The sequence below is a fragment of the Homo sapiens genome, chromosome 3 (assembly GCF_000001405.40).
Source record: "Homo sapiens chromosome 3, GRCh38.p14 Primary Assembly".
NCBI lineage: Eukaryota > Metazoa > Chordata > Mammalia > Primates > Hominidae > Homo > Homo sapiens.
This window is the reverse complement of record NC_000003.12, coordinates 45,104,082-45,120,394: the sequence shown is the minus strand read 5'-3', so window position 1 is coordinate 45,120,394 and position 16,313 is coordinate 45,104,082. Positions and strand designations below refer to the sequence as shown.

The window sequence follows — 16,313 nt, the reverse complement described above, 5'->3', positions numbered from 1 at the left end:
CAAAAGGCAAACGATAAACTGGGGAAAATATTTACAGTTCATATAAGGTTGGGAGATCAATTTCCATACTATGTAAGGAGCAGCTGGCCAGTGGGGTTGGAGCAGAGTGTAGAATGGAGAGAGAGGCACAAGAAAAGGGTGACAGAAATCCAAATGTGTGATCACATACAGCTGCTGAGCTGTGGGAATACAGCATGCTCACTCATGGCAGCTGGCAGAAGTACATCCAGTCTTGTGCAGGCTAGCAGTTATGGTAAAATTATAGCACATGGCTCGTCCAACACTGAAGAGGACTCAGATGTCATTCAGCAGGTGCATGGATAAATAAATCATGGCCTATTCTGTCAATGGAATAGTACTCAGCAATAAAAAGGAGGAAACTACTGACCCATGCAGCAGCGTGGGTGAATCTCACAAGCATGCTGAGCAGAAGCAGCCAGCTACAAAAGAGAAAGTACTATAGGCTTCCATTTGCATGAAGGTCCAGAGCAGGACAAACTCATTGACAGTTTTCTAGGACTTGGAGTGGAGGTTGACTGCAGAGGGGCACTGAGGGAACTTTTGAGGGTGAGGAAAATATTTGTATATCCTGATTGTGGTGGTCACATGAGTGTATACATTTGTCAAAACTCTCAAAATGAGTGAGTCCTTTTTAATGTGTGTAAATTACTGTCAATAAGGTTGATTTTTTAAAAATAAATTTTTACAAGGAGGGAAAAAAGAATAGATGGGAAACAAAAGCTTCTGATTAGATTGCTATTCATTCACTAACTGTTTATCAAGCACCATTTGTGTGCCAGCACGATAACAGATCCCGACCAGCTGTTTGTACCAGAACATGGTGCTACATGAACTGTGAGCCCCTAGGCTCCCTCCACAGGATTTACCTACAGACGATCTTCCCATCATCTGCTGTTCCCAGGCCATCAGCTGCCCGGAGACTCATAATCAGAATCCAAGATAGGGCAGGGGCAGTGTCAGCTAAGGAGAAAGTGGCTCTCCCTTCTTGGTCTAAGAGCACTTAATCAATCAAGCAAAGCAAATGGGAAGGAGATTGGGCTTGTTTGTGAACCAGAGCCCTACTCTGACATTTGTACAATTCTGTTTAATAACCAACCCCCACCTCACTTGCTTGATACTGTTTGCTCAGGTGTTTTTTCTAAACCCCAATCTGAGATAATAGCATTGTTTTGCTCTAACTTTCCAAATTCATTGATATAATATGATTATATCTAATTTCTGCAAATGTTTTTCTAGCCCCCACTACCATACGTACATACATATGTATGTATGTACGTACGTGTGTATGTGTGTATGTGCTGGGCATATAAAGCACCCAGGGCAAGGGACAGCAGCTCTTTGCAGATAAATGTGTCTCCCTATGATGGATGGTTTCTGTGTGTAGACTTTGTTCTACTGTCATGTTGAGAAAAGGTGTGGTGGTTACTCTGGTTGTTATTTAATACTGCTCAGATGGGATATCTAACAGCATACTGCTCAAGACATCTAGAATGTGGTATAGTGTTTTCAATTTGTAGAAAAATTAATAATCCAAACAAGAAACACATGTCAGTGACCAGCTGGCAGCATCCTGGTTCTTTTTCATTGCTAAGGTCGGAACTGTCATTTTGCACCACCCTTCTTCTCAGAAAAGGAGGGAAGGAACAAAGTTGTCATAGAGGACATCCTCTCTGAACCAGATTGGGGTCGGGGACCACAGCAGTTTGCAGACCTAAATCATCCTGCTTACTTCATTTTCCTTCCTTCCTTCAGAAGCTTTTGAGATTGCTCTGCCACGAGAAAGCAACATTACAGTTCTCATAAAGCTGGGGACCCCGACTCTGCTGGCAAAACCCTGTTACATCGTCATTTCTAAAAGACATATAACCATGTTGTCCATCAAGTCTGGAGAAAGAATAGTCTTTACCTTTAGCTGCCAGAGTCCTGAGAATCACTTTGTCATAGAGATCCAGAAAAATATTGGTAAGTAGACACTTGTGAGCTGTTTGACAATGTCTTTTAAATGTCTCTACACCTCCCTGACTGTCTTTCCCATGCTAAGTCAGTCTCTAATGCTAGAGAGCTAAGATCTATTCTGAAACTCTACAGTTTTTTAATTTAGCTCTGATGTGGCCAGTTAGAGTTCTAAATGCGTTACACAGCTTAATTTGTTTAATCTTTAAAACAGCCCTATGAGAAGTTCACAGAGAGAGGAACTTGCCTAAGTGGGCACAACTAGTAAGCAGAAGATCAGGAGAAGAACCCAGGTACTGTGGCTTTCAAGTCTTTGCACTTAGCCACTGTGCACATAGGCTCTTCAGGCAGCACTACAGAAGCCCACAAGCTACAGATCTTCAGGTCTGTGATGCTCATCCTGTGTGCTAAAAATATCTGGCTGATACGGAAGACAAAAGAATCAGAAGGTTGAGGAGAGGCCGGGCGTGGTGGTTCACACCTGTAATCCCAGCACTGAGGAGGCTGAGGTAGGCGGATCCCCTGAGGTCAGGAGTTCAAGATCAACCTGGCCAACACAGTGAAACCCTGTCTCTACTAAAAATACAAAAATTAGCTGGGCATCAAGACCAGCCTGGCCAACATGGTGAAACCCTGTCTCTACTAAAAACACAAAAATTAGCCAGGGGTGGTGGCAGGTGCCTGTAATCCCAGCTATTTGGGAGGCTAAGGCAGGAAAATCACTTGAACTCAGGAGGCACAAGTTGCAGTGAACCCAGAACACACCACTGCACTCCAGCCTGGGTGACAGAGCGAGACTACGTCTCAAAAAAAAAAAAAAAAAGAAGTTGAGGAGATAAAGATAGAGCAATTGATCCATAAGACACAGTGGAAGAGACGGCTGCTTTGGAGAATGATGGAGTTGGGTTTGGCTTCAAGCTCCAGGGCTACTACTCATGTGACGTGATCACATGACTTTAAGCAAATTATTCAACTGCGTAATGCCTTAGTTTTCTAGTCTATAAAATAAGGATTATTGTACCAAACAAGAGAGTTGTGAGGATAAAATAAAATAATGGATTGAAAAATGGATGACACATAATACTTAAATAAACTATAGATATTTGGTTTTATTATTCATAATTTGAGCTTGGGATAGAAGATTGACATAGGAAATAATAATAATTAGGTAGGGAAACATGCATTTATAATTTCTCAATCATTTTAAGGGGGCCATGTCAAATAGGATGAATAGATGTATTAACAAGAATAAGAGCACTATTTGTCATCCAATCAAAGCCATACCTTAGGAAGAAGGAATTCAAAAGTAAAAGGAGAAATTGAAGTATTAGAAATCAATTTTAAAAACTACACTTAATGACTAATACCAAGACCTAGTTCTCTGCAGACTAATTAAATAGACAAATCCCTGACTAGTCTCATGGAAAAAAGAAAGAAAATACAAATATACAGCATTAAAGGTATAAAAATGGACTTAACAATATATACAGAGACTATTTCTAAAATTGTAAGAGACTGTGTATAACGTTTTCATCATAAATGTGAAAATCCAAAGGAAGTGGATGATTTTCAAAGAAAATTTAATGGGCTGGATTGACTCATGGAAAGGTAGGAAAACTGAATAAATAAATAACCAAGGAGGGGATTGGAAAAAATGCCCGAGACAGGGGAGAACAGTTTGGGTTAGTTAGAGATGATTTTACAAGTGAGTTCTATAAAACTTCAAGGAGCAGATAATTTCTATGACATTCAAACCATTCTAGAGACAGGTTGGCAAACTTCTTTCAGATAAGGTCCGATAGTAGGTGTCTTAGGCCCGTGAGCCAGGAGGTTTGTATCATGTCACAGCTCCTCAACTCTGCTATTACAGAGTGAAATCTGCTGTAGACGATATACATAAACCACCTGGCAAATCAGTTAATGTGATGCTTTGCATTATTAGGTTAGAGAGGAAAAAACTACATATGATTATCTCAATAGATGATTTTAAATGTCTTTTTTTTTTTAACGGAACACTATGGCTCCTCAACTCTTCTATTACAGAGTGAAATCTGCCATAGATGATACATAAACCACCTGGCTAATCAGTTAATGTGATGCTTTGCATTATTAGGTTAGAGAGAAAAAACTGTATATGATCATCTCAATAGATGACTTTAGATGTCTTTTTTTTTTTTTTTTAACAGAACAGTATGAACATAGATTTTAAATGTCTTTCATAAAACACTCTTAGTAAATCAGGAATGGAAGGTTATTTTCTTAATTCAATAAAGAGCATCTATCAAGAACTGATAGCAAATACCATATTTAACTATCAGATATGGCAGCATTACCAATAAAACAGGCAATAACATAAGGAGGCTTATTATGCATGCCCTTGGTCACCATTATTCAGAATCTCTAATTAAATATATAGAGATTATCTTAATAAGTACATAAAGTATACGAAGCAAAATATAAAATTCTGTTGAAAGACAAAAGAGAAGACTTAAATAAATGGAAAGATATGCCATGTTCCTTGATAGGAAAAATAAATATTTTTACAAACAATTAGCCAGGCGTGGTGGCATGTGCCTGTAGTCCCAGCTACTCGGGAGGCTGAGGTGGGAGAATCACTCAAACCCAGGAGGCAGAGGTTGCAGTGAGCCGAGATTGTGCCATTGCACTCTAGCCTGGATGACAGAGTGAGAATTTGTCTTAAAAAAATTTAAAAAAAAAAGAAATACTAAGTATTTTTAAAGTGTAAATTCTCCCCTATATTAATTTATCAATTTAAGTCAATTATAATTAAAATTTTAATGAAGCTTTTACAGAGTTAAAGAGAACGTTGATATATTTAAGAACGCAGTGGAATGGTGTGTTGCTACTAAGAGAATGAAGTAAGTTTGTGTATTTGACATAGAAAGATGCCCAAAATAGTTTTGTTCCATTAAAAACAATGCAGCTTATAGTAGGACAATAGTTTATATAGTTTGATGCTACTCTATTAAATACACACATGTGCACATGCACACTTACATACATGCACACAAACATGCACACACAATCATACAGAACCCAAAGTCTGGAGGGATAAACTCCAAAACTCCAAAATTCTAACTTTATACTACTCTATAGGGGATGGCAGAGGGGAACAGGTGACATTTTCTTCTTTCTACTTTTCTGTACTTCCCCGCCCCACCCCACCCCACCCCCACCTTTTTTTTTTCTGTCACCCAGGCTGGAGTGCAGTGGTGACCACAGCTCACTGTAGCCTCAAACCTCCTGGGCTCAGGTGATCCTCCCACCTCAGCCTCTGGGGTAGCTGGGCACACACCACCACACCCACTTGTCTTTTTGTTTGTTTTTAAAACGACTGTACATTACTTTTATAATCAGTTAAACCAATAAAGTGACTTCCACTTTGAAAAAGGAAAAATGTAACAAGTGACACATTTCACAAGTCAAGCCTTTGAATGCATTCAGTCTCTCAATCCTAGGATGCCCACATGGCTTACTATGTAGTAAAAACCCATGCTCACAACTTTTGAAAATGATATGAAAATATCAATTTCTAAAATAATAAATCTAGACACTGAATCAGGTCCAGTGGTCCACCTGCCCTTCATTGCCTTTTCTGAACAATCATTCTGAAATCAGCATCAGATAAAATTTGATGTCTCCATTCTCATCTCTTCTTGAATAGTTCCATGAGAACTAATGAAAGTTGGCTGAGCATGGTGGCTCATGCCTGTAATCCCAGCACTCTGGGAGGCTGAGGCAGATGGATCACCTGAGGTCAGGAGTTCAAGACCAGCCTGGTCAACATAGTGAAACCCCTACTAAAAATACAAAAGAAATTACCCAGGCATGGCAGCACACACCTATAGTCCCAGCTACTTGGGAGGCTGAGGCAGAAGGATCACCTGAACCTGGGAGACAGGTTGCAGTGAGCCAAGATGGTGCCACTGCATTCCAGCTTGGGTGACAGAGCAAGACTGCATCTCCAAAAAGAAAAAAAAAAAAAAGAGAGTTAATGAAATTAGAAATCTGCTGGGGAAAATGAGTTTATGAATCACTTCAGAAATAATACTTCTCCATCCTCTGGACAGGAATCATTTTAGTTATTTAAAATGTTTTCACTGGACAGAGTACAGGAGAAGATTCCGAGGCATGCCAATCATTTTGACTACTCTTACCTGTGTGTTCATCCTAAAAAACAAAGCTCTTAGCATCAAATGAAAAATTGCTTTCATAACCTGACTCTCACAGTGTCACATGGCTGCTGACAGAGCTGAGGCTGGGAGATGGGGCTTTTTGACTCCAGATTTTACTATAGAATTAAATCAGAATCCCTGGGATGGTCCAGGCATGTGTAGTTTTTAAACGGCCTGCAGGTGAGTTGTAGGTAGAACCAGAGCTAAGAGTCACTGCCTTACTAGAGTTAAATGTTTCCACAAGAGTACAGAACCTAGCCAGAGCCAACTGATGTTGCCCTGGGCACACTGGAGGTGTGCGTGGAAAATCACTTGAGGTCTGCTTTTGAAAGAAAGAGGTGGCTTGATATAAACATTGAAGTTTCCATGAGCTCCTAAAATAGGAACTACCTTTACTAACACGCAAAGTCTAATTTTAGTCACGTTAGTCACCATGTTATCTAACCCTGTGTTATTGGTTAGACAGCATAGCGCATTGGCAAGAAAGGGCTGACCAAACACAGCCTGAGCTTTCGTCCTGGGATCTGGAATTGCCGTGTACTTGCTGCAAGTGCCAGCCCAAGTCACCTGGATCCACAGCTGCTTTGCAAAAATTAGAGGTCTGGCTTGGATGACCTCAGAGATCCAAGACTGATCTGAAATTCTCCATAATTCTATTTTGAGTGGACAATACTTTCAAATACCCCAATAGAACAGCAGTAAAGATTCACAAATTATTATTATGGAGGCCAGAGTCTATCACACCTTTCAGATGCCCCCTGCTCAAAACAACAAAACCTTAATGTTACATTGCCTACTTTCTGTTTCGTCCCCTCACTTTCCTCTTGTTTTCTCTTTGATAATATTTCTTGCTTTGTTTTAAAAGGCTTAGGAAACAAATATATCAAAGGATGTTATTAGCTGTTAGCCTTAAAAAAAGAAATTCAACTGCAGTGGTTATAAAATATCAGCATTAAGGCAGTGCAAGAAGAGAAATGGCGCCGCCAGATTCCAGCTGTCCAGGGGAGTTGCACGTTCAGAGTATATTTGCTATGTTGATGAATGTGTTGATGGGGAAACCAGTTTTAAAGGATGGATCTTGGCACTGTGCTCTACAAATTGTGAAATCGTGACTCTCTTAGTACAGGAGAAGTAGGAGATCCCAAAGCACAGACTCTGCTACAAATGCCTTCCTTCTGGCTTCACCCACTGGACCCCAGGAACTTAATCTGGAAATCACAGTAGTTAAGAGATGTCTCAAGTCTGGTGACCTGGAAGCAGAGCCTGAGACAGGATTTTTTGTTTAAGTCAGTGATCAAGAAAGTGCTCTCAGAAGTGAGGAAAGCAGGATAGAGCAGGGCACGTAGCTGAATGCAGATGCGGTTTTAGCTGAAGAGTAGCTTCAGCCTGACCCCATGGGGAGCTCTGGAGTATGAATGGCATACCCAGGTTACATCACTTGAAGCAAGGAGGTCAGACTTTTTAATTCCTGCAGGAGGCCATTATTGGCTGTAGACAGCACCTCTCCCTTGGGATGGGCATGAGGGGCTGCAACACCTCTCAGGCTTTTCTGGTTCAAGGCAGCTCCCCCGAGCTGAGGCACTTCCCCGAAGGAGGGTACATCTGTGAGCCATTGGCCACTAAGACTCACAGCAGTTGGGGCCTGGGTGCCCCTGCCTGGTAAAGGCCACCTTGGGGGAGCCCCAAAGAGTCTACTACAGGGGGCTGAGTGGTGGAGGAGGAGTGGTGTGGGGCCTTGGAGCATCTGTGATCAAAATTGCTTCTGTGACTGTTTTTCAGACTGTATGTCAGGCCCATGTCCTTTTGGGGAGGTTCAGCTTCAGCCCTCGACATCGTTGTTGCCTACCCTCAACAGAACTTTCATCTGGGATGTCAAAGCTCATAAGAGCATCGGTTTAGAGCTGCAGTTTTCCATCCCTCGCCTGAGGCAGATCGGTCCGGGTGAGAGCTGCCCAGACGGAGTCACTCACTCCATCAGCGGCCGAATCGATGCCACCGTGGTCAGGATCGGAACCTTCTGCAGCAATGGCACTGTGTCCCGGATCAAGATGCAAGAAGGAGTGAAAATGGCCTTACACCTCCCATGGTTCCACCCCAGAAATGTCTCCGGCTTCAGCATTGCAAACCGCTCATCTATAAAACGTGAGAAAGCCCCTCCCTGCTATCTGATTAGGTTAAAACACACAAGATCATCATTGTTCTAGGTCAGAAATGGTCAAATGTCAGCAAATCTCTAATACTCAATATAAAAACCATAAAGGAAGATCTAGCTCTCTTATAAGTGACATGGGTCATGCATTCCTAGTGTGAACCCCCTCTTCTCTATTAAACAAACGGGGTGATTCTCTTTGTCCTTTTTGCATGTGATACTTGTTTTCAAAAAAATGACAAGGGATTGGTTCTACAGACCCACCTTGATTGCTTCATTTCTAACTTCTTTGTCTTCCATCTCTTTCACATTTTCTGTAAACGTATCAGTGATGTGCAGAGCTCACTCACACTGGCTCATAAAAGCTGTTTTTTGTTTTTATTTTTGTTTTTGTTTGTTTTGAGAAAGAGTCTCAGTCTGTGGCCCAGGCTGGAGTGCAGTGGCACTGTCTTGGCTCACTGCAACCTCTACCTCCAGGTTCAAGCGATTCTTCTGCCTCAGCCTCCCAAGTAGCTGGGACTATAGTCGTGCGCCACCACACCCAGCTAACTTTTGTATTTTTAGTAGATACGGGGTTTCACCATGTTGGCCAGGCTGGTCTCGAACTCCTGACCTGAGGTAATCCTCCTGCCTTGGCCTCCCAAAGTGCTGGGATTACAGGCATGAGCCACTGCACCTGGCAGAGAGCTGACTGTTAAGTGTTCAGGCATTTTGTGAGCTGATGTGAAACAGATCCGTTATAAAAAAATAGAATTAAATTAACATAATTAAATAAATTATTTTTAAAACAAAGGTAATAAATACTCAAAACTCATCACTTCCTAATTATTTTACTGTTGCCTGTGCTTTCAGGGTTATTTGTGTTGTCGTATCTGTATGGAGGGAATAATATAAAGGTGTGCTACTGCCCAACTCCACATTCAGTCACCTGGTGTTGGTAGCTTGAAATCAACCGTGGTGGGATTATTTACATCCACTATGGAAGTGGGCAGACGCTATAAGTCAGGGCTCTCCCCTCTACCACTGGACCGGTTTTTAATATTTACTCGCACACCACTGATGTGTCTGCATTCCCAATCTCTGCCTTGAGTCCAAATATACAGTATCTAGACCCACTGCTCAGGATCTGAGAACTGCAGTCATTTTTCCTACACCCCCACCCCTCGGCTGCAGACAACCAGGACAGGGTCTAATGGCTCCCTATTCTTTCTGGTTTGGGTTCCACTCCCACTAGGTCTGTGCATCATCGAGTCTGTGTTTGAGGGTGAAGGCTCAGCAACCCTGATGTCTGCCAACTACCCAGAAGGCTTCCCTGAGGATGAGCTCATGACGTGGCAGTTTGTCGTTCCTGCACACCTGCGGGCCAGCGTCTCCTTCCTCAACTTCAACCTCTCCAACTGTGAGAGGAAGGAGGAGCGGGTTGAATACTACATCCCGGGCTCCACCACCAACCCCGAGGTGTTCAAGCTGGAGGACAAGCAGCCTGGGAACATGGCGGGGAACTTCAACCTCTCTCTGCAAGGCTGTGACCAAGATGCCCAAAGTCCAGGGATCCTCCGGCTGCAGTTCCAAGTTTTGGTCCAACATCCACAAAATGAAAGCAGTGAGTGAGCCCCACTTTCCTTTTTCTTCCTCCTCCAGCACCTTCGTTGTTTCCTGGGTAGTCTGCCTGGGTGAGGCTCCCTTCCTGTTTCTCATCTGTGGCTTCTGAAACACTTAGACTCTGGACCCAGCAAGAGTTTCAGGAAGTGGGTTGCTAGGCAGTTAGACAGGCTTGTTGGTGAACACCCGGTATGTAGTTCCATTTCAGCACAATAAAAAGAAATCTTGCATTCAAGATGCTAAATTGTTTTTAACGAAGGCATTGAAAGGTCATTTTTCTAGATCTTATGTCTTGACCCTGCAATGTGAATGAGGATGTCACCCGCACCATCAGCGATGATGATGGGAACTTACAGTTTTATGGCTCAGCACCCCTACTATGGACACATACTCTGCATGTCATCTTGTGTTAGGCACGCCACTTACACAATCTCAGCTAATCTTTATTGCAACCCTGTAGGGGAGGTGGGAATTATCTTTATTTACTAATGAGAAACCAGAAGGTTCAGAGAGGTTATGGAACTGGCCTGACATCACACAGCTTGTTAAGAGCAGAGCAAGCTCAGAACCCTGAGCCTGTGCTCTGGCCCACACTGAAGCCCAGTTAGGATGATGAGAATTAGGTTGGACATCATTCCACAAAAGTTGCTGAGATGCCATGAACATAGAAAAGCGGAGTTAAGGCCAGGACTAGGGTAAGGCAAAGTGCCCAGGGTGCAATATATAAGGAGGTACCCACTCTCAGGGTCATGTACCTGCAAGGTCAGCCCCTGAGAGTGAGCACCTCCTTAAACTTTGCTCCCTAGGTGCCTGGCTTGCCTCACCCCAGTCTTGGCCCTGAGGGGTGTCGTGCAGATTTTGAGATAAAAGATACAAAATTAACTCAGACTGGCTCTTCCTGGGCCTCATGCATGATGTGAAGGAGTGAGTTGTGGCAAGTGGTCTCCAACCAGGACATTTCTGATGTGTGTTGCTAAGGATGGACGCTGTTCAGAGGGCTGATTCTCATTCTTGTTTTTACTATTATTTACTTCTAGGAAGTAGGCAGAGCCAGGCAGAAAAATTAAGTGGGAGTGTGGAATGGCGTGCTGCTGTTTTTTGTAGGGCTGATAAGCATCTGAAAAGTGGCAGTGTGGGATCCACTAGAGGGATTGCCCAACTGGTGCTGCCCTGGAAACGTCCATATGTATGTATGTATAATGTGTGTATAGATATATATACAAGGGGCCGGGCACGGTGGCTCATGCCTGTAATCCCAGCACTTTGGGAGACCAAGGCAGGCAAATCACTTGAGGTCAGGAGTTCGAGACCAGCCTGGCCTACGTGGCAAAACCCCGTCCTACAAAAAAGTCAAAAATTAGCCAGGCATGATGGCGCGCACCTGTAATCCCAACTACTTGGGAGGCTGAGACATGGAAATTGCTTGAACCCAGAAGGCAGAGGTTGCAGTGAACCGAGATTGGGCCACTGCACTCCAGCCTGGGTGACAGAGTGAGACTCCATCTCAAAAAAAAAAAAAATATATATATATATATATGTATACATGCATATATATATATATGTATACATGCATATATATATATATGTATACATGCATATATATATATACATGCATATATATGTATACATGCATATATATATATACATGCATATATATGTATACATGCATATATATATATACATGCATATATATGTATACATGCATATATATATATACATGCATATATATGTATACATGCATATATATATGTATACATGCATATATATATGTATACATGCACATATATATATAGTGTGTGTGTGTGTGTATCCATTGAGACATTTTTATGATTCCACTGTCACAACTGTACAATCAGAATGTTGAAAACAGCCACAAAAGGATTTAGAAATGGAGTGGGCTTGGGGTTTAGAAGACAGGGGGATTTGTTTATCACCTCAGTCATGGTGGAATGCTGCTTAGAAGCTCTGATTAATTCTGCTAACTGTAACATCAGCTGGGTTGATTTCTAAAACTAATCAAATTGTTAAACGTGCTATAAACAGCATCAAGAAGGACATGGATTTAGTGCTGAGATTAAAGGGCAATAACTGCCGTTGAGAGGTGTTTAGCAGTGTCAAGCCCTCTAACTTTGCACTGTTTCTAGCGGAGTGAGTGGACTTGGCGGCAGAAATATCTTTGGGGATAAATTTAGGTTGGGCTGGACTGCCTGAGAACTCTGATCTCTGGGCAGCTTCATCTTGATCCTCTGAACCTCTATGTGGACCCTAAATTTCAAGGGCTAGCCCAAGGAAGCCAGTCCTGTGCCCCTACCTGTTTGTCTGACCCATTCTTTTTTTTTCTTTTTTTTTTAGGCAGAGTCTTGCTCTGTCACCCAGGCTGGAGTGCAGTGGCGTGATCTCGGCTCTCAGCTCACTGTAACCTCCACCTCCCAGGTTCAAGCGATTCTCCTGCCTCAGCTTCTTGAGTAGCTGGGATTACAGGCGCCTGCCACCACACCCAACTAATTTTTTGTATTTTTAGTAGAGATTGGGTTTCACTATGTTGGCCAGCCTGGTCTTGAACTCCTGGCCTCAAGTGATCCACCCGCCTCGGCCACCCAAAGTGCTGGGATTACAGGTGTGAGCCACCACTCCCAGCCCTCATTCTTTATTCTCTCTCATTTGCTAAGTGTTTGTAGGCAGCTTGTATTGCTGGCAGCATAGCCCCATTAAGGATAATGACCTGGAGTTGGCCTGCATGGATTTGAATCTGGTTCCCCCACTTACTTTGACCATGGGCAAGTCACTTCACCTCTTTGTGACCCAGTTGCTCATCTGTAAAGTGGAAGTGGTAAGACTGTCCTCATCGGGGTGTTGTGAGGACAGTGTGAGGTAGCACAGTGCCTGGCAGGTAGTGAGCGCTCTTTAAATGTTTCCTGCAGGGTTCTAGGTCAAGGCAGGCATGCAGGGTTAGAAAAGACACAACACGGGCCGGGCGCGGTGGCTCATGACTGTAATCCCAGCACTTTCAGAGGCCGAGGTGGGAAGATTATAAGGTCAGGAGTTTGAGACCAGCCTGGCCAATATGGTGAAACCCCATCTCTACTAAAAATACAAAAAATTAGCCGGGCGTGGTGGCAGGCACCTGTAGTCCCAGCTACTCAGGAGGCTGAGGCAGGAGAATCGCTTGAACCCGGGAGGTGGAGGTTGTGGTGAGCCAATATTGTGCCACTGCACTCCAGCCTGGGCAACACAGCAAGACTCCATCTCAAAAAAAAAAAGAAAGAAAGGAAAGAAAGACACAACACTTGTTCAAACAAAGAGATTAGACTGTGGCTCCAGAAATGATTGGTAGGATGCAGCAAGTCACTCATGGAAGGAATTCCAATGGCATGTGGTGAGGTTGGAGGCAGGAGAGTGGACCGCAGCTGGTAGGAATACTAAGGGGAGACTCTGGGCAGAGTCTGGCCCTTCTCAGGCTGTGCAGGAGGCCCCATCTGTGCCAATGGTGTGTGCCGCTCATGATCACTGGAAGAGCTCTATGTGCTGCTCCTGCTTTCTTAGCCTTGGAGGTGAGAAAGAAGCTGAGAGAGGGGCCTCAAGGTGACTGAGTTTTGGGTCAGAGCCTCTGCCCTTGCTTCTCCTGTGAGTGCTAGAGGAAAATCTCCTGGGGCTAGTTTCCCCCTCGACCCCTTCACTGCTGCACCTCTCTGAGTCCAACCCAGGCTTTGCCCTAACTTGACCTTCCTTTGTCCCCAGAAGCAGGGGAACAACTACCCAGACCAAAGCCACTACCCCAGGAGTGCACTTGTGGGTGGTTTGCATTCTTCACACAACATGGATTTATCTGTCTCCACGTCTGCATCTTACTAAACTCCTCCCAGTCAGGAATCTTGTCTTATTGCTCTTTCTATTCCCACCACAGCTTCCGACACATTCCAGGCCCTCCATAAATCCGTGTTGCACCAATCTCAGGAGTCAGCATCTTTTCCAAAGTGGCTCAAGAGCCAGTTGCACCATAAGAACCCACAGCCCATCTGAAGGGGCAAGGCAGATACAGTGAAGTGGGGCACCCATGAGAGCAGCTGCTTGGTGGTGGGGCAGACAAGGAGAAGGGCATCAGAAATAAGAGCAAAGGCAGAGCCTGGAGACCTTCTCAAACCAAAGTGCAACCATAGAAAGCCAGAGCCTCAGCAGGGGTGGAGAAAGCTGTGAGAGGCACCAGCCAGCCCAAACCCCTCATTATCTACAGCAGGACCTGAGCACAGTGGGCCCAGGCTACAAAAAAACAGACAGGTGTTACCTTGAACCTAATTGTCCAAAAAACAAGATAAAAATATCTACCATCAGTCCTCTCTACTTTGCTGAGAAACATCAGGTAGGTTCAAACTAGACCCAGAGAACTCCTGTAGGGAGTATTTTTCCATGGCTTGACCACAAACATCCTGTGTTTTGAGTCATGTACAATTACCCAGGAACTGAGGAATAACTGATGTGGCCATCCGTGACCACATCTGTAAGCAGTGATAGCTTCAGCTGCCCACAGTGTGCAAACCACGGGTGTCTGAGAGCTCAGTTCATGTTCACCTCTACCACACAAATCTTGTTTTTAAGTGCTCCACAATGCACCCTCTCCTTTCTTTTTTGATATCACAAGATTACCATGTCATGCCTGATGTTATTACCACTTTCACCAGGCAGCCTGTTTCTCTCTTTGTATAATTTCTAAAGGTTCAAGTGGCCCTGCTGATAATGATTATGTGAGTTAATGGTACAGTATTCTACCCATCTATATTATATTCTACCCATCTATATATCTACCCATCTATAAGGCTTTAGGGAGAGCCTTCTAGCCTACTAGCCTACTGCTTTATGCATCCTCTTCTAGCTTTTGGAAAATCTGTTTGCTTTCCTGAAAATACCAAACAAACTATTATCTTCAAAACCCATGGGCTTCTGGGTGATCATGAGTCACATACGACAAGCAGATGTGCATTTCCAGTGTGTTACACAGGACGCTTTGTTAACCACTCTGGGTGAATGCTGGTTGTGGAAGCAGATACATTGCTCCTTTTTTGGCTTTTACAACCTCCAGAAGCCACCTGGAACCTTAAATAATTATTGGATTTGTTTTTGCTTCTTGTTTTTTGTTTTTGTTGGGTAACTTGTGTTCCATGAGTCTTAAATTTGTCCTGCTGAGCTGATAGGTATTATGGCCTTTGACTTACTCCCATTGAGTCCATTTCCAAAAAAAATTGTCTATCTATAGATACCACAAAAATGATTAGGGGCCTTTATGAAACATCAGTCAGTAACCCAATCCCTTCAAAGGTCCCCAGTGTGGCTTTTACAACAGTGTCAATAACTATTAAATAGTGAAGGGTTTTCTTTTGGTGGCAGGTGGGGGTTAAACATCAGGCTCAAATGTTTTGTTTGTTTGTTTTTTGAGACAGAGTTTTGCTCTTGTTGCCCAGGCTGGAGTGCAATGGCACGATCTTGGCTCACCGCAACCTCCGCCTCCTGGGTTCAAGCGATTCTCCTGTCTCAGCTTCTCAAGTAGCTGGGATTACAAGCCCACCATGCCCAGCTAATTTTGTATTTTCAGTAGAGACAGGGTTTCTCCATGTTGGTCAGACTGGTCTCAAACAATCGACCTCAGGTGATCTGCCCACCTCAGCCTCCCAAAGTGCCAGGATTACAGGCGTGAGCCACCACACCCAGCCTCAAATGTTTTTTATATGAAGGCATCTGCAATGTTGTAGAAAAACTATGGGATTCTTTCAAGGCAGGAAACTGTGTCCAGATCACAGATCTGCCCCTTTATTAGGGAACATTGAGCGGTTAATTTGCAACCTTCTCAGCTGTAAAATAACAATAGTCATTCCTCCTTCCCCCCATGTTGTGAGGGTGAGATAAGGCAACTTGTCAAAGCACACAGACCTCACTGAGTAAAGATCTGTCTTGTCTTTCCATAGATTTATGAATGTTAATAGGTAATTTTACATTTAAAACACCCATCTGTGAGAGATAAGGGCTGCACATTTCCACCCTGTTTTGCCTGCTGAAGCCACATATGAAAACATTCTGTAGGCAGCAGGGAAATTAACTGTGTCTACCCCTCAGGTTCCTCAGGTTATTTTGAGATCCAACCAAAAGAAGTGTGGAAAGAAATGTGTAAAATGACTAATGAATGAGGTGCAAATGCAAAATAGAAAGTGGAATGAAGTGTGATATTACAGAGAGCCTCCTCATAACGGGCAGTCTGTCTTGCCCCCAGAATCAATAAACTGGGCTTCTGTTTTAGCTGGGACATGAGGTATCTCACCACAGTCCACCTGATTATTATACAGTAATTTTCAAAAGAAATATAAACTGTAAAACCACAATAGTGTTTCACACCCACTAGAATAGCT

The 16,313-nt window shown here is 43.4% G+C and overlaps 1 protein-coding gene across 6 annotated transcripts in view; it reads left to right on the top strand.

Moving 5' to 3' along the window:
* CDCP1 (CUB domain containing protein 1) overlaps nt 1-16,313 on the top strand; it is a 64,206-nt gene that overhangs the window by 26,088 nt on the left and 21,805 nt on the right. For 4 of the 6 annotated variants that reach the window (XM_024453718.2, XM_017007070.2, NM_022842.5 and 1 more), the window contains 3 exons: nt 1,774-1,983; nt 7,950-8,312; nt 9,554-9,922. In XM_024453718.2, the coding sequence (XP_024309486.1) occupies nt 1,890-1,983; nt 7,950-8,312; nt 9,554-9,922 (826 nt within the window). In that variant the 5' untranslated portion in view covers nt 1,774-1,889. Of the gene's footprint in view, nt 1-1,773; nt 1,984-7,949; nt 8,313-9,553; nt 10,176-16,313 lie in introns of those variants that run through there. The other 2 variants (XM_011534024.2, NM_178181.3) reach the window with 2 other exon arrangements.